Source organism: Homo sapiens, chromosome 4, assembly GCF_000001405.40.
Source record: "Homo sapiens chromosome 4, GRCh38.p14 Primary Assembly".
Lineage (NCBI taxonomy): Eukaryota > Metazoa > Chordata > Mammalia > Primates > Hominidae > Homo > Homo sapiens.
In genome coordinates, this window is record NC_000004.12 from 72,028,723 (window position 1) to 72,054,288 (window position 25,566).

The 25,566-nt window shown below is 37.4% G+C and overlaps 1 protein-coding gene across 4 annotated transcripts in view, besides 1 other annotated feature; it reads left to right on the forward strand.

The window, feature by feature from the left end:
• Positions 2,887-3,489: an enhancer, noted in NCBI's record as "OCT4-NANOG-H3K27ac-H3K4me1 hESC enhancer chr4:72897326-72897928 (GRCh37/hg19 assembly coordinates)". NCBI's record gives its function as "activates a minimal SCP1, AML or CMV promoter by ChIP-STARR-seq in naive H9 embryonic stem cells {active_cell/tissue: H9 hESC(naive)}" and the evidence as "EXISTENCE:reporter gene assay evidence [ECO:0000049][PMID:30033119]".
• The window catches only part of NPFFR2 (neuropeptide FF receptor 2), a 116,306-nt gene continuing 94,017 nt past the window's right edge, over positions 3,278-25,566 (forward strand). For 2 of the 4 annotated variants that reach the window (NM_001144756.2, NM_053036.3), the window contains exon 1: positions 10,410-10,691. Coding sequence is in view for 1 of the 4 variants with exons in the window: in XM_011531554.3 (XP_011529856.2) it covers positions 10,388-10,691 (304 nt within the window). In the remaining 3 variants the exon portion in view is untranslated. Of the gene's footprint in view, positions 3,479-10,294; positions 10,692-25,566 lie in introns of those variants that run through there. The other 2 variants (NM_004885.3, XM_011531554.3) reach the window with 2 other exon arrangements.

A 25,566-nucleotide genomic window follows, 5' to 3' on the forward strand; every position in this document is an offset into this window, starting at 1 on the left:
GGCTGTCAAAAACTCAGATTCCTTTCATCCTGTTTCTCTGCCACCCTCAGCATGTGGTATACACCCCATGGTTCAAGGTGGTAGCCTGAGTGCCACCATATTTAAGCTAGCAGTGAGAAGGATGTATGGCAATGTCATCAACTGAGCTAGTGTATGTTTTGGGAAGAAGACCATGATTCTAGTTTTAGATATGCTGAGTTTGAGGAAATGTTGAGACAGCCATTAACACTGTCAAGTAAGAGTCTGGTACTTATAACAGAAATCTCGACTGGAGATGTAAATGTAGGGATTGCCGTCATATGCATGCTAATTAAGGCCACTGGTGTGGATAAGAATGCATAGAAATCAGTCTAGCATAAGAAGAGAAGTGAATCTAGCACTGAGCCTTAAAGAAATACCTATGTTAGGCCGGGTGACATGGTTCATGCCTATAATCCTAGCACTTTGGGAGTCCAAGGGGGGTGGATTGCCTGAGCTCAGGAGTTTGAGACAAGCCTGGGCAGCGTGGTGAAACCCCAGCTCTACTAAAATACAAAAATTATCCATGTGTGGTGGTGTGTGCCTCTAGTTCTGACTAGTTGGGAGGCTGAGGCAAGAGAATTGCTTGAACCTGGGAGGCAGAGGTTGTAGTGACCCGAGGTCAAGCCACTGCACTCCAGCCTTGGTGATAAGAGACTCTGTCTCACAAAAAAAAAAAAAAAAAAAGCTGGGTATGGTGGCTCATGCCTGTAATCTCAGCACTTTGGGAGGCCAAGGGATCACGAGGTCAGGAGATCAAGACCATCGTGGATAACATGGTGAAACCCTGTCTCTACTAAAAATACAAAAAATTAGCTGGGTGTGGTGGCACATGCCTGTAATCTCAGCTACTAGGGAGGCTGAGGCAGGAGAATCACTTGAACCTGGGAGGCGGAGGTTGCAGTGAGCCAAGATCGTGCCACTGCACTCCAGCCTGAGCAACAGAGCGAGACTCCATCTCAAAACAAACAAACAAACAAAAAACAAACAAAAAACAAAGAAATATCTATGTTAAATGGCAGTGTAGGAAAATAAAAATTTAAAAACAGCCTGTAAAGGATACAAAAAATGAGTAGCCAGAGATGCAGGGTAAAGAAACAAAAAATAGGGGATTATGATGAAATATATGCCAAGAGGAGGAACTGTTGCAGATAGAAATCAAGCTGTTCTAAGGCCAAATAAGATGCAGTCTGAAAAATATCCATTGTATTTCATTGTATTTCTCAACATGGAAGTACTGATGATTTTTGCAAGATTGTCTGGTGAGAAGGTCTAACTGGAGTGGGTTGCTAAGTGGATGGGAAGTGAGGAAGTGCAAATGACAGATTGGGCAGCAGAACAGTGCAGTTGTTCCTGAGAAGGAACGATGTAGGTATTACACTTAGACCTTGCAGGAAAACAGTGGGATTTTTATTTTGTTTTGTTTTAAATGGAAGATCTTGACATATATAAAAGCCAGGAATAATTCATTTCACAAGGAGAGAAGAAATATATAAGAGAGTGTGAGAATCCTGAAAGTACGGGAGAGGGTGGGAAGAAAAGCTCACCATGGTAGACATGGGCTTTAGCTAGGAGAAAGAAAGACAAGCTCCTCTATTAAAACCAGTTATAGCAAAGAATGATGAATGAATGCATGGAAGTTAAAGCAGGGTGTGTAGGTGTTTACAGGAGAAGTACTCAGGGAAAGGTGCATATCAGGTCCTTCCCTAGTTTTATATAATTTTCTCCTGCTTATGGATATAGTCTACTGTTTTTAGTGGTGGTGGAATGGTAGGGGTGGGGAGCAGGAGAATAGTTCTTGCAGTGTGTTGTTTCATGATACAGAAATGGAATCATAGTTTAAATGATTGTTACATAAGTTTCATATTTCTTTTAATTTGTAATAGAATCCTAGCAAGCTGGACATTACCTCACTGTCTCATCAAAAGCGTTGCTATTGCTTTCATTCTTTTTAATGACTTATTTTTCCAGTGGTATGAGGTACTGTGTAGAGCAATGAATCACAATTATTTTTGCACTTTGATTTGAGAATTTCAGGTTGAATACAAAATGCTTTTCTCTTCTTAGTTTTATTTTACCCAACTAACTTATTATTCTATCCTATGACTCCTGTGTTATCTCTTTAACGTCTTTTTCTTTTCTATGACTTTCTGTGCCTTGAGTATCCTGATAAACTTTAGAGAAGTGGGACCAGTATCCTTACCTTGAACTTGGTAAAGTCTTGGGAGAAATACGCCTCAATTTAGTCATTAAACACACACACCACACACACACACTTGTCAAAATCTGCAACTTTAATCCAAGACCAAGGAATCCTACTTTAAAAGGTCTGTCTCACCATAGGCTTTTTTTCTGTATTCCACGTGTACCAGTGATATAGGCAGAGAAATGTAGCAGATAAAGAAATGAATTTGGCTTCTGGAGCTTTTCTTTCATTTAAATACCACCTCTGTAATCTTAGACAAGTCACTAAACCTTGGTGCCTCTGTGTGAATTGGAAATAATTATATATCAACTCTTCACAAACCTAGAGTGCTATCGTGAGGATTAGGTCTAAAAGGCTCCTCACAGGTTTCTCATGCTTAAAGCACCTTTAATTATCCCTTTCTTAGTAATTGTATAAATCTCTAAGTTAATCCATTAAAGTCTAGTCATCATCTCTCTATTAGCAAGACCCAACTGGGCAGATAGTGTTGTTAGGATCATTGTGAGTCTCCCCAGGGTTCTTCCCCTTCCATTTCTGATTATGCTGTGAATATATTTCCAGAATTTCAGAGGGGTTTGCTTGCAAGCTAAAAGATCTTTGCAAAGGCTCAAAAAATACGGTCTGCTTCAGACAGAGAGAGGGTTTGCAATATGCGATGAATCTCTCAGTCCCATTAGAACCTTAAAGATGATGATAGCTCACATTTAATGTAATGATTAATGTGTACCAGGACCATTCCAGGCACTTTTGCATGTAGACAAATAATTCTCAGATTACTTACTGATTAATATCATCATCATCTCTATTTTACAAACGAGGAAACTGAGGCACAGAGAGGCTAAATCACTTGCCCAGGATCTGGAGCCAAGTAATGGTGATACTGATGCTTCCTTTTCTTTGCCGCGCTCGGATTCTGAGTTTCACAAGAATGTACCTGGGTGCCCCTTAGCGGGATATGAATAGCTTCTTCGGAACCCCAGCGGCCAGCTGGTGCCTCCTGGAAAGTGACGTCTCATCTGCACCGGACAAGGAGGCGGGGAGGGAGCGCAGAGCACTCAGCGTCCAGCAGCGCGGCGGGCCAGCCTGGAGCGGAAGCCTGGAGTGGAGCAGGCAGTCCGCGGGGGACAGACGTCGGCTGGGATTGAGCCGGCAGACTGCGAAAAGTAGCTGGAGCCGGAGCAGGGACAGAACCTGTTGCTGCAGACGGGCTTGGTGGATTCTGGTTCCTGCCGCCGACAGGGCTCGCCGGGAGAGGTAACAGCATGGGCCAGTTTGTCTGGGGGCCCCCGCTTGGGGGCGCGACCCCTCTCTAATGCCCAACGCTTGCCTTGATGACACATATTAGCGATTGTGGACCGACACCTTGGATTTTTCAAATCCCTTCCTAATTACACAGGCACCCGCTTGGTCACTGGCCCAACACTGGGGGGCTTCTCTGCCCTGGATGTCTGCACCACAGATGGCTGTGGCCCCAGGCTTGCAGAGCAGGGACCTGGTCAAGGGATGTGGGGCGCTTTCTTCACCTTAAAGTTCCCCCCAAGCCCTCTCCGGGGCTGTATTGTGTTGTAACTTTGTTGAATTTCCTTAGCGGGTCTGAAGCTAGCGAGTTTCTAAACTGTTTTTATCCGTGATGCTTCTAAGCAATGATCTTTGTGTATCTGAGGCTTCATCTTGTGCATTTCCACTTGCTAGAAAAGCTGAAATCAGGTTTCTGAGCTGCGTACAGGACACCAGAGTCCTTATTGAAGGCGTTTGGAGAGGTTTTATCCCCTTCTGGGAGTGAGATAGGGTTTCCAGACAATACCATTTTAGTTCTTCTGTCAAACCATCAGGCATTTTCCAACAGTGCCGCCCTAGGTCAAATTTAGGGTCTGGAGGAGAGGAAAATGATCTTCTTCAAGCTGTCGTTCTAGTTAAAGACAGAACTACTAACTAAAAACCAAAAATACATTTGTTCATCTCCCATTTCCCCTCAGCTATAGTGTAGATATTTGAAATATTTATTTCTTTTTAAAAAATCTTAATGATAACATGAATTATACAAAGATGCTGGTTTCCTTTTTTTAATCCAAATATTCAAAGTTGTTTTAAACATATGTCTAAATTTCTAATTCCATTCACATCCAAATAACTTTCAAGTGGGAACTACTAATGAGAGGAAGGATGGAAAAATCAATGGTTTGTAAACTGTGAAGGACATATTTTTGTTTCCATCTGGATTTCTAATTAAACCATAATAAATTGAGTAAAATTATCATAATAATGATGAATCTAAGTTATGGATGAATTTGCAAAATGGCTATAATGTGCTCAAAAATAGTGCCATTATCATCAACAGAATGGCAATTGTATGCAGAGTTCAATTAGAGTCTTTCATCTGTTAAAAACTTCTATAGATCGATCATTTAATAAAACAGTGATGCAATATAGTGCAGTAACAGTACCTACTGCACTATATTTAAAGGCACATATTAACATTACAGACTGGCTATTGTAATAATAAAAAAATGTGCTTTCTTTATTGCTTGAAAATAACATGTTACTCATATATCATTATCCTATTCTTTTTCTCAATATGTGTTTTTCCAAAATCCATACACCCCAATAAGATCTTTCTACTAGCCATGATTTCTTCATGTCTATAGAAAACTTCAGAGCATTTGAGGCTTAAGCTTATTTTTGCTTCATCTATCTGTTTGTCTGTTTCATCTGGCAGTTTTATTCTTGGTGCATTTTGTGAACACATTACAAAGTATCTAAAATTATATATTAGAAATTCATTGTTTTATTTGTATGATTATTTTATCCCATAGTTCCTATAAATCATACTGCTCACCAATACTCTCTTTTACAGATGTCAAAGACTATAGGTTGAATAAATATGAATTCACTATAAACCAATGAATGATTTCTTCCAGAAATATCAGTTTATTTATTGTAGTTGTTCTTCGGCTCTGTGTGTGTGTGTGTGCATGTGTGTGAGTGAGTGTGATTTTTTATGAGAATTCCATGCAAATGCCTCTGTGATAAATATTTATAAACCTTTTCACTGTATTGCATTAAAATGGATTTCCAGCTGTAACATGGAACACAAAATAAGGACAACTTCATGCCTTGAAGCTTCAGATACTTAAAAATAATAATTTTGTAAAATACTGCCCTCCTTATTATGGAAAAAAGGACATTGGTTTTAGCTAAAGACTTCAAAACTGTCAAGCACATTCAAAGAAAATGGAATAAATATAATCTCACATTCCTAAAACACATCTGGATTAGTCTATTCTCATGCTGCTATAAAGGACTGCCTGAGACTGGGTAATTTATAAAGGAAAAAGATTTAATTGACTCAAAGTTCTGCAGGGCTGAGGAGGCCTCAGGAGACTTACAATCATGGCAGAAGGGGAAGCAAACACGTTCTCTTTCACGTGATGGCACGAAGGAGAAACGCCAAGCCAAAGGGGGAAAAGCCCCCTATAAAACCATCAGATCTCATGAGAACTCACTCACTATCATGAGAATAACATGGTGGTAGCTGTCCTCATGATTCAATTACCTCCCACCAAGTCCCTCCCAAGGACACATGGGGATTACAAGAACTACAATTCAAGATGAGATTTGGATGGGGACACGGCCAAACTATATCAATATTTATATAGTATTTTAATAATCTTAACAAATTGTTCTCTTAAACATATGAATTTTATGCTTACCATTAACCTGATGTTAACAGCTGATTTTCTTTTCCTCTCTGTTTCCCTTTGATTTTAAGTTCCAGCTTTTTGGATAAGTTGGTTCTTAAATGAATTTTCCAATTGCCTTGAAACTGAACATTAAGGGTCCAGGGAGACCTTCACTCCATTAAACTAGAAGGAAATGGAAATATACTGCCCATACAAAAAGATGCAATGGTCCCTATAGCAGACAGCTGTTTAGAATGGGTCTTGTGTCCTTGCTTTGCGGAGTTTTCAAATACAAGACTTCTAAAAGTAAAGAAATTAGGTTTCTTCCCAGTCAGACTTCTAACTGGCTCTGTGCCTCAGGCAAATCATTTAACTTCTCTATGTCTAAGATTCCTCAAACGTAAAAGGATGAATTATAATTTGATTTCTAAAATTATTTTACCCCTCTAGATTTCTCTGTTTCTATGGTAGAAGGCAGAGGATACAGAGTGAGAAAGCTCAGATGTCCTTGCTTTGCCATTTGAGAGCTTCTGCCCTTAGGCAAGGCCCTGAAATTCTGTGACATCAACACCTCATCTATAAAATGGCCTAATAGAAGAAATTAATAGAATGATCTATTATGCTGGATACAGTGTCTAGTACATAGAAGACGCACAAGAATGTTTTTAAGGCACCCATCTCTGAAAAATCTAAAGGGATTTCTGCCTGTGGCAGGGGAGGAAATGACCTAAAAGCAGAGGAGTCTATCCTGCATCTGCAGGTAGGCATTTCGCAGTATAGTTTCTATAGTATTCACCAGAGACCAGGAAAAGAGAGGGCCAGAGCCTCAAGCATAGTATGAATGCCTCCTTGGTATCTTTCCATAGTTTAGCCCCCCCTAAAAAAGTCAAAGTGAGTCAGGACAGCATAAATATTAAACTTAATGCCACACATGACTGACAAGACATGTCCTGTTCTGGTTTCCATGTCAAACTAGGCTTGATTCTGTTACAGCTAAGCATACCAGCTAGGCTGTATAATGACCATCAGAATAATTGCACAATCCAAATCACACCACACCAGTAATTAGAAAAAGGAAAGAAAAAACAAATAAAATAACTCCTGAAATGCCAAAAAATTGGTTCTCTTTCAGCTGTATTTCCATTTAAAATTTAAAGTTTTCAAATGTTATGAAAGTATATTTCTTACTTTTTTTCTTCTTGGGCTATTGTAAGAGTCTCATTTAGGTGTCTGCATGGAGTCTGGGTTCCATGTGGCAGTTGCAGAATAAAGCACCTGCCATTAGAACTGATGTGCCTTTTTCTAGTCCTTCAAACAAGTCTCAGTTGATCCATATTTTCAGAACTCTGGAGGGTTTACCAAACAGAATATTACAGTTCTGGTTGCATTCCCACAAAATTTAGAAAGCATCAATAAATCTTTCCCAAAGCCAAACGAGATCAAAATATCTAAACTTAAGTGAGCTGCAACCATACGCATTATCTCATTTAATCTTCATGATTTTAGAAATTGAGTATGCTTACAATCCCTTTTCGGTGGATAAAGAAACTGAGGCTCAGAAATAATTTGCCAAAGTAAACATGTTTACTAGGTTGAGGAACCAGGATAATGAACTCATGTAGTCTCCCAGTCTACATGCTTAAATTCTACACTGCAGGACTCCCAAGTATGTAGCAACAACAGCTTATAATCAAAGTACCAATTTCTGTATATACTGATCCTTTCCACATGAAAGCTATATACCTAGGAAGAGATAAATATTACAGTCCTCATGAAGATTTTTCTAAGTGGAAGTAAGAAGCATCAGAGTTATTTGTGAAACTTTCAAATGTCTCACCACAGATTAGTGGGCTGGAGTTGGGTTCGGGTGGTGTGTGTGTGTGTGTATATATATAATGTATATATACATTTAAATATATAGTATATATAATGTATATATACATTTAAATATATAGTATATATAATGTATATATACATTTAAATATATAGTATATATATGAGATTCTGAGTCAAAATTATTTTCATGATTTCCCATAATGAAAAAAATTTGTCCCAATCCACAATGCCATTTTGCAGCCATAGACAGACTAATCTTAAGAATCTTAAGTGTTGTCTTGGACAGGAGGTATTTAGAAAAATTATAATGAGAGGATAAACATTTCTTTAATTTAGCCTCACCAGAATGTGAGTTAAATCAAATAGATGTATATATTAGAATTTACCAGCTGCAAACATGCAAGGAAATAAGGACAAATTTCGATTAAGTGCTTGCACATGACCTTATGATTCTCATATCTTGGGAGAGTTTGCGACTTATAAAAACTGCTTTATCTTACCAAGAGTGACATCTCAAACACCCTGTCTCCTTGCTAAATGTAAACATTTAAAGAGGTGATACTTGCAGCGTTCAGGATTTCTCTCAAATTCCCTACTTTTCCTTAAAGTATGGAGTCTCATTTAAAATCTTTAAAGTACCTCATTTAGGCCAGGTGTGGTAACTCATGCCTGTAATTCCAGCACTTTGGGAGGCAGAGGCAGGAGGATCGCTTGAGCTCAGTTTGAGATCAGCCTAGGCAACATAGTGAGATCCTGTGCCTACAAATTAAAAAAAAAAACAAAAAACTAGCTGGTCATAGTGGTACATACCTGTAGTTCTAGCAACTCGGGAAGTTAAGGTTAAGGTGGGAGGATTGCTTGACCCCTGGAGGTTGAGGTTGCAGTGAGCCATGATTATGCCACTGCACTCCAGCTTCGGCAACAGAGCAAGATCTTGTTTGAAAAAAAAAAAAAAAAAAGGACCTCATTTAAAGTCTCTAAATTTTCCTTCTCATTTTACTTTCTGTCCTTGCATTCTTGGCACACTGATAATAAACTGAATGTGGGGTCTTTCTAGGATCACATCTTCCAGTCTTTGTAAGGATGCTGTATCTCATTTATAATAGACAACTCTCTCAGCAGAGTTCGTAGTCTTGTGTTTCCCTTTCTACTTACTCATGATCTCCTCTTCTGTCTGGAATTCCTCATCCTCCACAGGTGTGCAAACTGTTTTGTTTGTTTTTGTCCTTGGGTAGCCGTTTATATCATTTATATCAGTGTTACTTAAGGCTTCAAAGCCTTTGGCTAAAATCTTCCCTGTTTGAGGGAGTTTCCTTTGTTCCTGCTCTTTTTTCAGCTGGAAAAACTACATTAAGTAATTTCTGTGATATATGCTTCTTTCAAAACTAGTGGCCCTATGCTTCCCTTAACACAGAAGTATCAAAGACCAGCATGAGCTTGACCAATATCCTGAGCTTGCTTTTGATATTTTGATTATCTAGGTTTTAGTAACTTTTTCTAATTCATGTTTACCTACAGAATTAGTGCCCGCTTGAAGATTCTACAGTATCCAAAGCCTTACAGTTTCTCACTGTCTCTATCCTCAGCTCTCATCTTTTTTCCTCCTTTGACACCCTCGAGTCTTGAACATGCCAAGCTCATTCTCAATTACAACTTTTGCACGTGATGCTCTCCCTGCCTGGGAATCGTGAGTCTCAGAGCTGCAGGGAAGGGGTTCTTTAAGTCATTTCATCTCGGGTCTGGAATGCTTCTCCACACTACTAGTCCTCACAGTATTGTCTGATTTGTGTCAAAGCCCACTTGCTAGTTGAGACTTTCTCATTTATGTGTTCACTTATTAATGATTTTATTCCCCAAAATGAAATATAAGCTCCATGAGAGATGTACAGTATGCTTTCATATTTATTGCTGGCCTTAGTGCCTAGAACAGAGTCTAGTGCATAGTAGATACTCAGAAAATATTTGTTCTGTGAAAATTTTACTTCCATTTCCCTATTAGATTATCCTGCATCTTTTTACAGGTCCAGACAAGTTGCCGAAACTTCAACCTTATCATTCCTGTTTTTTAATTCCTTTCTGTTGATCCTACCTTAGCTAAAATACCAATCAGTATATTTTTTTTCCTGTAATATGGAAAAAAATTTGAAAAAGCTATCATTGCACCATTTTAATATACATTCAGGTTGCATAGTATCTGTATATGTTGATTTCAAAGAATAATCTGGATCTGAGTACTAGGAAAAACGAAAATAAAAAGTAGCACAACGTTTACTTTTTATTAAAGTTACATTAGCCATTCCACTGTTTTCACTGGCATGATTTTTCATGTTTAAAATATATTTTGAAAATATATACATATATAGAGATATAATTTTGCATAAGTGCCTAAACTAAATTATATCATAATGTTGTTTTTTAATTCTTGATTTTTAAATTTCCTTTCTTTTTTTTTTTTTTTTTTTTTGAGATGGAGTCTCTGTCGCCCAGGCTAGAGTGCAGTGGCGCAATCTCGGCTCACTGCAAGCTCCGCCTCCCGGGTTCGCGCCATTCTCCTGCGTCAGCCTCCCGAGTAGCTGGGACTGGCGCCTGGGTTTTTTGTTTTTTTTTGTTTTTTGAGACGGAGTCTCGCTCTGTCGCCCAGGCTGGAATGCAGTGGCGCGATCTCGGCTCACTGCAAGCTCCACCTCCTGGGTTCACGCTATTCTCCTGCCTCAGCCTCCTGAGTAGCTGGGACTACAGGCGCCCGCCACCACGCCTGGCTAATTTTTTTGTATTTTTAGTAGGGACGGCGTTTCACTGTGTTAGCCAGATGGTCTCCATCTCCCGACCTCGTGATCCACCCACCTCGGCCTCCCAAAGTGCTGGGATTACAGGCGTGAGCCACCGCGCCCGGCCAATTTCCTTTCTTAGTTGCCTCTGCCCACCTCTTCTCTTCTGCTTCCATATTACAGGTAACCAATCTTAATTGGGTTCTATTATGTTAGATTTTTCTCTACTCTTATACCCATTCACATATATACACTCTCAAATCAATCTTTTTGTCATCATTTAAAAAATATATGCATCTTGTTTTCTAACTCATGATGACCTTGTGGAAAGCCCTCCATGTTGATTGTTATGGATAAAATTCAATTCTAAATGGCTGTATATAATATACCGTGATATGGATAATAAGAAACAAATTCAACCATTCCCTTCTTGATAAACATTCACTTTGTTTCCAGAGGTTTCTATCTTGTTGGGTTTTGTCACAAAACAAGGCTACAATAAAAGTAGTTATTTAAAAACTACTTTATCTCCAGGTTTAAAGAGCAAAGCTATTTTTCAATTTTAATGTATGTTGCCTTATTGCTTTCTAAGTACTACAAATAATTACATTTTTACCAGAAGACTATGACACTGTTCTTTACTCATGTCCTTACAGCAATAGGTGTTGTAACTGTTTATGTTATTAGTTGTTAAATTAATTTGAATTTCTTAACTACTTGTGAAATTAAATATATTTTTATCTTCTTCAGATGTTTGGACTTCTTGTGTAAATCATTTATTAATATTCTTGCTCATTTTACTGAGATATTAGTCTTTTTCTCAATTTATACATTCTTTGAATATTGTAATTATTAATGCTTATCATAGTAGGTGTTTTCCATATTGTCGGCTGCCTTTGTTCATAACTTTATCATGCACATTTAAAATATTTGTATAGACAATATATTTATTATTGTATACATTTTGGATTCCAGTGTTGATTAATATGATTTTTTCTTATTGCTGCATTAGACATGTAGTCTTCTAGATTTTACTGAAGGATTTTTATTTTTAAAAATTTTAGCATGGGTTTTTAATTCAAGTGGAGTTTTAAAACACATGCCATAAATAGTGAGCCAACTTTCACTTCTTCCAAACAGCTTACTAAATATTTTATTCTTCCCCTTCGAATTGAAAACACACTTTTGTCATATTTTAAAATCTCATATATAATGGGATCTATATTTGTATCCTTGATTCTGTTTCACTGACCAATTTGTCCATTTCTATGGCAACACCAAATTGCTTTGATTATATTTGCCATAGATTATTTTTCTGATATCCTAAAAAGCATATCTCCTTACTGTTTTTCTTCACAAATGTTCTTAGCTTTTCTTGGGCACATTTTCTTCCCTCTGAACTTTTAAAAATCATATTCCAAAACAAATCCTGTCACTGCTTTGCAAATATTTTTACCAAACGAACTGTTTGTCTATACATATTTTAAATGATATTATATTAAATTGATATGTTAATTTGGGGAGATGACCTATAAAGTATTAAAATTTATCTTCCAAAAATCAGGCATGTTGTTCAATTTTAAAGAAATTTTAAAATCTTTCAGTAGGGTTTTATTTTTTATGTCATCATTTTATATTCCATCTTTTGCCTGTTAAATTTATTTTTATATATGCTACATTTTAGTCACTGCTGTAAAATATATATATATATATTCATTTTAATTTCTAGGTGCTATTGCTAATATTAAGAATGGCTACTTTTAAAAAATTTTTAACTTATTTTATATTCAGGGGGTACATGTGCTGGTTTGTTACAAAGGTATATTGTGTGATGCTGAGGTTTGGGTACAGTTGAACCCATTACCCAGGTAGTGAGCGAACTACCCAATACGTAATTTTTCAACCCTTAATCCCTTCCTCCCTTCCCCTTCTTGTATTCCTTAGTGTCTATTGTGCCCATCTTTATATCTATGCGTTTCCAATGATTAGCTCCCTCTTATAAGTGAGAACATATGGTATTTAGTTTTCTGTTTCTGCATTTATTTGCTTAGGATAATGGCCTCCAGCCGTATCCATGTTGCTGCAAAGTACATGATGCTGTTCTTTTTTATAACTGCATAGTATTACATGGTGTATATGTATCATATTTTTTAAATCCAAACCACTGTTGATGAACGCCTGGGTTGATTTCATGTCTTTATTATTGTGAATAGTGCTGCAATGAATATATGAATGCAAGTGTCTTCTTGGTAGAATGATTTATTTTCCTTTGGATATATACCAAGTAATGGGATTGCTGGTTTGAATGGTAGTTCTATTTTTAGTTCTTTAAGAGATCTGCAAACTGTTTTCCACAGTGGCTGAACTAATTTACTCTCCCACCAACAGTATATAAGCATTCCTTTTTCTCCACAACCTCGTCAGCATCTGTTCTTTTTAGACTTTTTAGTAATAGCCATTCTAATTGGTGTGAGATGATATCTCACTGTGGTTTGATTTGCATTTCTCTGATGTTTAGTGGTGTTGAGCATTTTTCCATGTTTGTTGACTGCTCGTATGTCTTCTCTTGACAAGCATCTACTCATGTCCTATGTTCACTTTTTAATGGAGTTTATTTTTTCTTGATTTAAGCTCCTTATAGATTGTGGATATTAGACCTTTGTTGGATGCATAGTTTGCAAATATTTTCTCCCACTCTGTAGGTTGTCTGTTTACTTCGTTGAGAGTTTCCTTTGCTGTGCAGAAGCTCTTTAGTTTAACTAGAGTCTCACTTGTCAATTTTTGTTTTTGTTGCAATTGCTTTTGAGGTTTATAAATTCTTTGCCATGGCCAATAATATGGCTTGGCTGTGTCCCCCACCCAAATCTCATTTTGAATTATAGTTCTCATAATCCCCATGTGTCCCTGCTGTTCTTGTGATAGTGAGTTCTCATGAGATCTGATGGCTTTATAAGGGGCTTTTCCCCCTTTTGCTTGGCACTTCTTGCTGCCACCATGTGAAGAAGGAAATGTTTGCTTCCCTTTCTGCCATAATTGTAAGTTTTCTGAGGCCTCCCCAGCCCTGCAGAACTGTGAGTCAATTAAACCTGTTTCCTTTATAAATTACCCAGTCTTGGCTATATTCGTATAGCGGCGTGAGAATGGACTAGTAGAGTATATTAATATCCAGAATGGGGTGCTGCTATAAGGATAGCCAAAAATGTGGAAGCAACTTTGGAACTAAGTAATTGGCAGAGGTTGGAACAGTTTGGAGGGCTCAGTAGAAGATAAGAAATGTGGGAAAGTTTGGAACTTCCTAGAGACTTGTTGAATGGCTTTGACCAAAATGCTGATAGTGATATGGACAATAATGTCCAGGCTGAGGTAATCTGAGATTGAGATGAGGAACTTGTTGGGAACTGGAGCAAAGGTAACTCTTGTATGCTTTAGCAAAGAGTCTGGAGGCATTTTGCCCCTTTCCTAGAGATCTGTGGAACACTCAACTTGAGAGAGATGATTTAGGGCATCTGGCAGAAGAAATTTCTATGTGGCAAAGCATTCAAGAGAAAGCAGAGCATAAAAGTTTAAAAAATGTGCAGGCTGATTATGAAGTGGAAAAGAAAAATCCATTTTCTGAAAAGAAATTTAAGCCAGCAGCAGAAATTTTCATAAGTAACGAGGAGCAGAATTTAATCACCAAAACAATGAGAAAAATGTCTCCAGGGCACATCAGAGACCTTCATGGCAGCCCTCCCATCACAGGCCCAGAGGCCTAGGAGGGAAAAATGGTTTCTTAGGCCAAGTCCAGGCCCCCTTGCTGTGTTCAGCCTTGGGACTTGGTGCCCTGTGTCCCAGCCACTCCAACCGTGGGTAAAAGGGGTCAATGTACATTTCGGGCCATTGCAATTCCCAATCCTTGGTAGCTGCCATGTAGTGTTGGTCCTGCAGGTGCACAGAAGACAAGAATTGAGGATTGGGAACCTCCACCTAGATTTCAAAGAATGTATGGAAGTGCCTGGATGTCCAGGCAGAGGTATGCTGCAGGGGCTGATCGCTTGTGGAGAACCTGCTAGGGTAGTGCAGAAGGGAAATGTGGGGTTGGAGCCCTGAGAGAGTCCTCACTGGGGCACTGCCTAGTAGGCCTGTGAGAAGAGGCTACTGTCTTCTAGACCTCAAAATGGTAAATCCACTGACAGCTTGCACCATGCACCTGGAAAAGGTGCAGACACTCAAAGTCATCCCATGAAGGCAGTCAGTAAGGGGGCTGTGCCCTGCGAAGCCACAGGGGTGGAGCTTGCCAAGGCCATGGGAGCCTACATCTTGCATCAGTGTGACCTGGATGTGAGACATGGAACCAAAAGAGATCATTTTGGTAATTTAATGTTTAATAATTGCCCTATTGGATTTTGTGCTTGCATGGGGCCTGTAGCCCCTTTGTTTTCACTAATTTATCCCATGTGAAATGGTGTATCTACCCAATGCCTGTACCCCATTGTATCTAGGAAGTAACCAACTTGCTTTTCATTTTATAGGCTCATAGGTGGAAGGGACTTGCCTTGTCTCAGATGAGACTTTGGACTTGGACTTTTGAGTTAATGCTGGAATGAGTCAAGACTTTAGGGGACTGTTGGAAGGGCATGATTGTGTTATGAATTGTGAGGACATGAGATTTGGGAGGGTCCAGGACCAGAATGACATGGTTTGGCTGTGTCCCCACCCAAATCTCATCTTGAATTGTAGTTCCCAAAATCCCCACGTGTAATGAAGGAGATGTGGTGGGAAGTAATTGAATCACGGGGGCACTTACTTCCATGCTGTTCACATGATAGTGAGTGAGTCCTCACAAGATCTGATGGTTTTATAAGGGGCTTTTCCCTGTTTTGCTTGGCATTTCTTCTTGCTGCCACCATGTGAAAAAGGACATGTTTGCTTCCCCTTCCACCATGATTGTAAGTTTCCTGAGGCCTCCCCACTCATGCAGAATTGTGAATCAATCAAACCTCTTTCCTTTATAAATTACCCAGTCTTGAGTATGTCCTTATAGCAGCATGAGAATGAACTAATACAGCCAATGTCAAGAAATGTATTCCCTGGGTTGTCTTCCAGGATTTTTATAGTTTTAGGTCTTACATTTAAGTCTTTAATCCATCTTGAGTTACTTTTTGTATATTGTGAGCAGTAAGGGTCTAATTTCATTCTTCTGTATGTGGTTTGCCAGTTATCCCAGCACTACTTTAACAATATAGATTCTTTGAATCTATGAACATGGAACGTTTTTCTACTTGATTATGTCATCTGTGATTTCTTTCAACAGTGTTCCCTTTTATCCACATTCTCACCAGTGTCAGTTATTTTTTGTCTTTTTAATAGTAGCCATTCAAACTAGGGTAAGATGATATCTCATTGTGGTTTTGATTTGCATTTTCCTGATAATCAGTGATGTTGAGAATTTTTTTTCATGTAGCCATTGGCCATGTTTATGTCTTCTTTTAAGAAATCTCTATTTGTGTTCTTTGTCCACTTTTTACTGGGATTATTATTTTTTTTTCTGTGGAGTTGTTTCATTCCTTGTATATTCTGGATATTAGTGCCTTTTTGGATGAATAGTTTACAATTATTTTCTCCCATTCAGCAGAGTCTCTATACTGTGTTCATTTTTTTCCTTTGCTGTGCAGAAGCTTTTCAGCTTCTACTAATCCCATTTGTCTATTTTTGTTTTTGTTGCCTGTGTTGAGGTCTTAGCCATAAAATCTCTGCCTAGACAAATATTCTGAATTGTTTCCCTATTTTTTTCTAGTAATTTTATAGTTTTAAATCTTAGATTTAAGTCTTTATTTCATGTTGAGTTGATATTTGTGTATGAAGGATATGGGTCCAGTTTCTTTCTTCCACATATGGATATCCAATTTTCCCAGTACCATTTATTGAAGAGGGTGTTCTTTCCTCAATGTATGTTCTAGTCCCTTTGTCAAAAATCAGTTCACTATAAGTATCTGATATACTGATTTTGTTTCCTTCGGATAAATACACAGTAGTGAGATTGCAGGATTGAATGATATTCTATTTATAGTTGTTTTTGAGAAATCTCCACATTGTTTTCCATCATGGCTGTACTAATTTACATTCCCACACCAGGGAGTATTTCCACGTTCTCTATTCTGTTCCATTGATCTATGTGTCTATTTTTATACCAATACCATTTCCTCTTTTGGTTACTATAGCCTTATAATATATTTTTTAATCAAATAGTGTGATACTTTTGCCTTTGCTCTGTTTGCTCAGGATATCTGAGCAACCAAGTACAGATGCTCCTCAGCTTATGATGTATAATAAACCCATGGTTAAGTTGAAAATATTGCAATTCCCAAATGCATTTAGTACATCTAACCTTCTGAACATCGTAGCTTAGCCTAGCCTACCAGAAACATGCTCAGAAAACTTACATTAGCCTACAGTTGGGCAAAAATCATCTAATACAATACATATTTTGTAATAAAGTTTGAATATCTCATGTACTTTATTGAATGCTGTACTGAAAAGAGAAAAAATAATGGTTGTGTGGGTACTCAAAGTATGGTTTCTGTTAAATGCATATGGCTTTCACATGATCATAAAGTAGAAAAATCCTAAGTTGACCCTTTGAATGTTGGAAACTGTGTGTATTGATGGTGCGGAGTAATGAAGATTTTTACTTGCTTTGATCAATTTAGAAAGCAATCTGATTTCATACAATTAAAAATGTATATGCCCTATATATGCATAAGGAGATATATATAAAGATGTTTATTGCAGTATTATTTATAATAAAATAATGAAAAATTAAACCATTAATTAAAGAATGGGTAAGTAATAGGTAATATAATCATGTGGTAAATACCACAGGTAGGCAAAAAAATAGCTGCCATGACTTGGTTAAATGAAAAGACTGGATAGATTTGAGTCCTGGCCCTGTCATAACTTTGGATAGTTACTTATACTTTTCCTGCTTCAGCACTGTAAAATATAGATAATGCTATGGTTTGGAAGCTCTCTCCAAAACTCATGTTGAAATTTAATTGCCAATATAATATTATTGCAAACTGGGGACTTTAACAGATGATTAGGTCATGGGAGTTTCACCCTCATGAGTGGATTAATGCCATCATTGCAGAAGTGGGCTAGTTATTACAGGAGTGGGCTCCTGATAAAAAGATAAGCCCAGCCGCCTTTTGTTCTCTCTGTCTCACATGCTTGCTTACCCTTCCACAGTGGGATATCCCTCACCAGACGCTGGCACCATCCTCTTGGACTTCCCATTATCCAGACCCATGAGCCAAATAAATTTCTGTTCTTTATAAGTTACTCAGTGTGTGGTACTCTATTATAACAGCAGAAAAAAAGACATACTATTCATACTGAAAAGTGAGGCTGTCATTATAGCAAAGTGCTGAAAAGGTGGAAGCAGCTTTGGAACTAGATAATGGGTAGAGGCTGGAAGAATTTGGAGGAGCAGGCTAGAAAAAGCCTAGATTGCTGTGAATGTAGCATTAAAGGCAACTCTGGTAAGGGGTCCAAACAAGAGGAGAGCTGTAGGGAAACATGAAACTTTTTAGAGATTACATAAGGGGTGGTGACCAAAAGGCTGATTGAAATATTAAAGGTAAAGGCCATTTTGATGAGGTTTCAGAGGGAAATGAAGAACAATGTTTTAGACACTGGGGTAAAGTCCATCCTTGTTTTACAGTTGTAAAGACCTTGAGTGAATTGTACCCAAAGCCTGAGGGCTTTGCAGAATGCAGAGCTTTAAAGTGATGAACTAGGATATCTGGTGGAAGACATACCCAAGCAGCAAAGCATTCAGGCTGCTGCATGGCTGCTTTTAACCATATACAGTGAGACGTGAGGGATGACTTCAATAAAGATTGTATAATAAAATAAGAAACAGAGTGAAAGGATTTGGAAAATTCACAGCCTGGTTATGTAAAGAATTAAAAAAAAAAAAGAAAATTTCAGAAGAGAGCACTAAGGATGTGGCCAAGTGACAATTGCCAAAGAGATTAATATGGATAAAAGCCAGGTGCTATATATCAAGACCATGGAAGAAAGACCCTGAAGGCATTTCACTTATCACTGAGGTTGCCCCTTCCATTATAGGCCCAGAGCTGTAGGAGGGCAGAATGGTTTCTGGTGATGGTCTTGAAGCATCCTCCATGGGCTCACTGCCCAGGGTTAACTTGGGTCTCCACTCATTGTGATTCTAGCAATGTGCCCCTAGTCTGCACTGGGAGCATCTCATATCTAACATTTTGATTTAACCCTTTTCCAAGTGGGCATGCCCAGTCAGGGATCTGGTTTAGCTCTCCCTGATCTACTTTGCCCCACTGCCCAGGTTTCCCAAATCACAGAACTCATAATCCTTGTGATTACTTGCTCAATGCTTTGTCTTTTATATAGGATTGTTAGCTTAATGAAAACTGTTAAGCCCGAATATTGTGTTTAATTCACAGCAGAAGATCCTAAATGAGTAATGAATGAATAAAAATTATAGAAATATATGCGTATATGTTAATAATAGTTGGGTCTTACAGAGTATTTCAAATAGTAGCCTTCTTTCCACTCATCTGAATTTGGAGCTATTTAGAGATAGACACACAAGCATATATGCTTCCATTTAGGATAGATGCAAACATATAGACATCAAAATATCAGCTTTATTTCTGTTGAAACTATTTGAGAATGTGTCTAGGGACTGTGGGCAAGGAGTAAAGTTATTCCTAAATTTGACAGATTTCCCCCACTCAATCTCTCATTACAGGGAGATGGCTAACTTCGTATATATTACAGTTCATATCATATTATGTGTGTATGTATTACACACACGTATATTACACACACACACATATATGTTTATGTATAGGTCATCTCCCTGCCATATATATATACACACGTACGTAAATGCACAGAGAGCATATGCACTTTATTGGCAGCAAGATTCAATGGGGAGCAACGAAAAGGCCAGAGACACTCAAGTTCAGTTTCTTCTTCCCAAGTTCTGGATTCTTGGAGAAGTGAGGGAGGAGTCAGGCAACTTACCCAAGAGAAGATTTCAGGAATAGAGAATAAGTTATCTCTAGAAGGGGGTAATTTGGGTTTTTGGTTTTTGGTTTATATTTTCTATGTTTTCCAATGATCATGCACTATTTTTAATCAGATAAAAATTCCTAAAACATAAATTGCAATCTTAATTTTTCTTGGCCTCTTATTTTCTCACAAGTGTTAATTTGGCCAATTCACAATATACATATATGCCTGTGTAAAATTGTAGATCTCCTGTGTGGGAATGAAAGAAGTATCTGATGGAGAAAATGAACAAATAGCTTAAAAATATATAAAAGAGAAACATCTATATTAACTATTCACAATTACTTGGGGATAGCTTCTTGTGTGAGAAAATTATATTTTAAATGAAGTGGCTGGTGCCAAGTGATATGAGTACTAATTTTTTTTTAATGATACTTTGGTAATGTGGTCAAAATGTGAAATAACTTATCTTTTTTTTTCAATATTTTTCTACTACTTCTCAGTAAGCATGAGTTTTGTTGGAATTATTGTGAAGTTTTAGAGTTAGAATGTAATCTTTTTCGTAATTTCACAGATCATATTAAAATTTACAAATAGTTATATTGCTTATAGAGCCACAGTGAGGGGTCAGGTTTCTTATTCTGCCAGTTAATGTAGTGTCTGCTTTAGAATACTGTCATCTACCCTAGTTCACAATTTTTGAAGATCTTGTGAAAGAAGATATGTAGGGAAGTCAATAACAATGAATCTTCCAATAAAGAAAAGGAAGAAAGTTCTCATTCCCTTATTTTTTGAACCTACCTTTTAACAGATGGTTTTACTGCTCTATTACACAGCATAATTGGATTGTTTTATCTGAAAGTGAATAATAAAGACAAAACTTTAAAAATAGAACTGTTTGAACTGAGAGCTCACTTTTATTAAGAGAACTTGTCCTATGAAAATTATTATTTGGAAACAGAAACCAAAGTACATATATTAAATAGCATCTTTTGCAATCAATGTCAAGGCTGTGTTGTGTCTTTGGTTGTCTTTTGGTAAATCTACAAAGGAGCATCAACTTAGTGTCCTCATAAAAGACATATATGTGTTCCACTACATTCAGTGTGAACAATATTTTAATTTAGCTTGCCAAGATATAGTGAAATAGAATTTTTGCAGGGTGATTGTTCTGTTAAAAATATATAAAAGGGCCTAGAAAATGATCTTTTGGCTAAAGCTGTAGAAAACAGACTGCCATTGATTTGCAGAATATGCTGTTTGATGTTTAGACAGCTGGAAAAAGTTTGGTAGGAGAACTTTAAAAACCTGTTATAATTGTAGCCTTGAGTATGATATGATTTGGCAACTAAGAGATCACCTCACAAAGCTATGATCCACAGGCAATGCAGTCTTAGGTATTATAAATTCATATTTATATCAAAAATTCCAAATATCTATTGAGATATTGTGATAGAATAAGAATACACATTTTGGTCTTCTTTCCCAGCTCCTGGCCAGACCTCCTGAAACTCTTGTAAGTGCTAGTGATAAGAGCTATAGGAGCACCTTTTATTATAATGTAATTGGTTTTTGTTCCTAGCTCTTGAAATGCTTCTAAAAATGTGAAAGAATAACCTTTTGCTAGTCATAACAAGCCCCATTCAACTACACTTGAATTTATGTCAACGAAGTGACTTGTGGAAAGCCCCTAAGGGTGGGGGTCACTGGTTGTGAAGGAAATCAACACCATGATTAGAGGGTTGGAATTTTTAGCACTCCCATCCAAACCTCCAAGGATGGGAGAGGGGCTTGAGGTTGAGTTAATCATTAGTGGCCAATGATTTAACAAATCATGCCTATGTAATGAATATCCTAATCCTTCATGAATGTCCTAATCAAAGGAGTTTGGAGATTTTCCATGTTAGTGAACACATGGAGGGCTGTAAGTCTCAATCTCCAAACTATACAAACCAAGAACAAATAATTTCACACAAATCCTTTGCCATTGACATTAACCAGAAGACAGGGTACTATATAAACCCAAACTAATATTTTAAGCCCCCCTAACCAACTGAATGGAACCCTCTTCTTTGCCAAGGGCATTCAAAAGTTAAACTGAAAAACTAGTTCAGTCTGTGATGGGAAGGGGGGTTGTACGTGCTTCATTATACACTCCTCCCTTTACAATTCGGGCACAACTGAACAGCATTAACATTAAAACTGACACCTTAAGAATGACAAAACAGACTCTTTGCAGCAATAAAATACCAAATTCCAACCCGACTCTATTATAACATGACATGGCAAATAGCAGGCCCTGAAGGAAAGCAACATGTTTTACCTCAAAATACATTTCTTTGATGTATTTTTTTAAATTATACTTTAAGTTTTAGGGTACATGTGCACAATGTGCAGGTTAGTTACACATGTATACATGTGACATGCTGGTGCACTGCACCCACTAACTTGTCATCTAGCATTAGGTATATCTCCCAATGCTATCCCTCCCACCTCCCCCCACCCCACAACAGTCCCCAGAGTGTGATGTTCCCCTTCCTGTGTCCATGTGTTCTCATTGTTCAATTCCCACCTATGAGTGAGAATATGCGGTGTTTGGTTTTTGTTCTTGCGATAGTTTACTGAGAATGATGATTTCCAATTTCATCCATGTCCCTACAAAGGACATGAACTCATCATTTTTTATGGCTGCATAGTATTCCATGGTGTATATGTGCTACATTTTCTTAATCCAGTCTATCATTGTTGTACATTTGGGTTGGTTCCAAGTCTTTGCTATTGTGAATAGTGCCGCAATAAACATACGTGTGCATATGTCTTTATAGCAGCATGATTTATAGTCCTCTGGGTATATACCCAGTAATGGGATGGCTGGGTCAAATGGTATTTCTAGTTCTAGATCCCTGAGGAGTTGCCACACTGACTTCCACAATGGTTGAACTCGTTTACAGTCCCACCAACAGTGTAAATGGAAGTAAAGCTCTCCTCAGCAAATGTAAAAGAACAGAAATTATAACAAACTATCTCTCAGACCACAGTGCAATCAAACTAGAACTCAGGATTAAGAAACTCACTCAAAACAGCTCAACTACATGGAAACTGAACGACCTGCTCCTGAATGACTACTGGGTACATAACGAAATGGAGGCAGAAATAAAGATGTTCTTTGAAACCAATGAGAGCAAAGACACAACATACCAGAATCTCTGGGACACATTCAAAGCAGTGTGTAGAGGGAAATTTATAGCACTAAATGCCCACAAGAGAAAGCAGGGAAGATCCAAAATTGACACCCTAACGTCACAATTGAAAGAACTAGAGAAGCAAGAGCAAACACATTCAAAAGCTAGCAGAAGGCAAGAAATAACTAAAATCAGAGCAGAACTGAAGGAAATAGAGACACAAAAAACCCTTCAAAAAATTGGTGAATCCAGGATCTGGTTCTTTGAAAGGATCAACAAAATTGATAGACTGCTAGCAAGACTAATAAAGAAAAAAAGAGAGAAGAATCAAATAGATGCAATAAAAAATGATAAAGGGGATATCACCACCGATCCCACAGAAGTACAAACTACCATCAAAGAATACTACAAACACCTCTATGCAAATAAACTAGAAAATCTAGAAGAAATGGATAAATTCCTCGACACATACACTCTCCCAAGACTAAACCAGGAAGAAGTTGAATCTCTGAATAGACCAATAACAGGATCTGAAATTGTGGCGATAATCAATAGCTTACCAACCAAAAAAAGTCCAGGACCAGATGGATTCACAGCCGAATTCTACCAGAGGTAAAAGGAGGAACTGGTACCATTCCTTCTGAAACTATTCCAATCAATAGAAAAAGAGAGAATCCTCCCTAACTCATTTTATGAGGCCAGCATCATTCTGATACCAAAGCCGGGCAGAGACACAACCAAAAAAGAGAATTTTAGACCAATATCCTTGATGAACATTGATGCAGAAATCCTCAATAAAATACTGGTAAACTGAATCCAGCAGCACATCAAAAAGCTTGTCCACTATGATCAAGTGGGCTTCATCCCTGGGATGCAAGGCTGGTTCAATATATGCAAATCAATAAATGTAATCCAGCATATAAACAGAACCAAAGACAAAAACCACATGATTATCTCAATAGATGCAGAAAAGGCCTTTGACAAAATTCAACAACCCTTCATGCTAAAAACTCTCAATAAATTAGGTATTGATGGGAAGTATCTCAAAATAATAAGAGCTATCTATGACAAACCCACAGCCAATATCATACTGAATGAGCAAAAACTGGAAGCATTCCCTTTGAAAACTGGCACAAGACAGGGATGCCTTCTCACACCACTCCTATTCTTTGAGATATTTTGAAAAGGCCCTGCAAAACTGTCTCTTGTGGGAAAAATCTACATTCTGTAGAGAATCCCTTTCCCTTTCCAGGTCTTTTCCCTGATTTAGGAGAGATTAACTAAGAGTCTGGCACCTTTTTAAGCCTAATAAGAAACATTTACAATCTATTCTCTTTGAAGCCTGCTACCTGGAGGCTTCATCTTCATGATAAAAATCTTGCTCTTTACAATCGCTTATCTTAAGCAGACACTCCTTTCTATTAATTTCAGGTCTTACATAATAACTTAACTCTTTCAACCAATTGACAATCAGAAAATCTTTGAATCTACCTATGACCTAGAACACCCCTACCCCTTGCTTCAAGTTGTCCTGCCTTTCTGGACCAGCCAGTGTACATCTTACATGTATTGATTGATATCGTGTGCCTCCCTAAAATATATAAAACCAAGCTGTAGCTCGACCACCTTGGGCACATGTTCTCAAGACTTCCTGGGGCTGTGTCGTTGGCAATGGTCCTCAGGTTTGGCTCAGAATAAGTCTCTTCATATATTTTACAGAATTTGACTCATTTTGTCAACAACTTCAAACCAAGTTATCTGTAAATAGAAAACAATAATAATGACAACAACAATACCAATTTCAAGCAGAGATGTTTCTCAAGCTCCCAGATCTCCAGGCTATGTGGAGAACAAAGTGAATCTGGGGGAAAGAAAACAGCATGGAAGAGATAATGAGAGAACAGAGAGCCTATGAGTGAACTAAAATTGTCCCCAGAAAGAGAAAGTTTACCCTAGGAACAAAAATACTATAAATAGTACTGGAAATTCTATAAGAAAGTTATTTTTTTAATATCCACCAGCAATGTTTTGTAGTTTTAAGCATATGCATTTTATACATCTTTTCTTAAATTTATTACCATGTATTTTGTTTTTTTATTTATGATAAATCAAGTACTTTAAAAAAATTTCTTCCAGGTTATCCATTGCCAATATATAGAAATACAATTATTATTTGTAAATTGACTTTATATCTTGAGAACTTACTAAATTATTATTTATGATGACTTTCATATAGATTCAGGATTTTCTATGTACACAATCATGCATTATGCCAATAAAGACAGTTTTAGTTCCTTCTTTCTGATCTGTATGTCTTTTATATTTTTTTCTAATGCACTAGCTATATCTCCAGTACAGTGTTAAAACAGAAAGAACAGACATCTTTGCCTATTCCTTATCTAAGAGCACAGTATTCAATCATTTTACCATTGATGACTATAGTAACTGTATGTTTTGTATAGGTCTCCTTTCTCAAATTCCCTTTTCTCCTAGTTTTAAAAATCATAAACAGTATTGAATAGCATGTTCATATTTTGAGTCTACATTTATGAGAAACTCAATATTATTAAGATTTTGATTCTCAAAATTGATCTATAGATTCAGTTGATCTATAGACACTATTGATCTCCATTCAATCTATAGATTCAATCCAACAAAATCTCAGCATGCTTTTTTTGAAGAAAATAATAAGCTATTAATGTATATGGAAAAGCAAACAACCTAGAAGAAACAACAATTTTTTTTAAATGAACAAGTTTAATTAGACTACTTGGTTTACAGATTTGCTGTAAACTACAGTAATTGAGACAGTGTTGTTGGTGTAAGCACGGCCATGT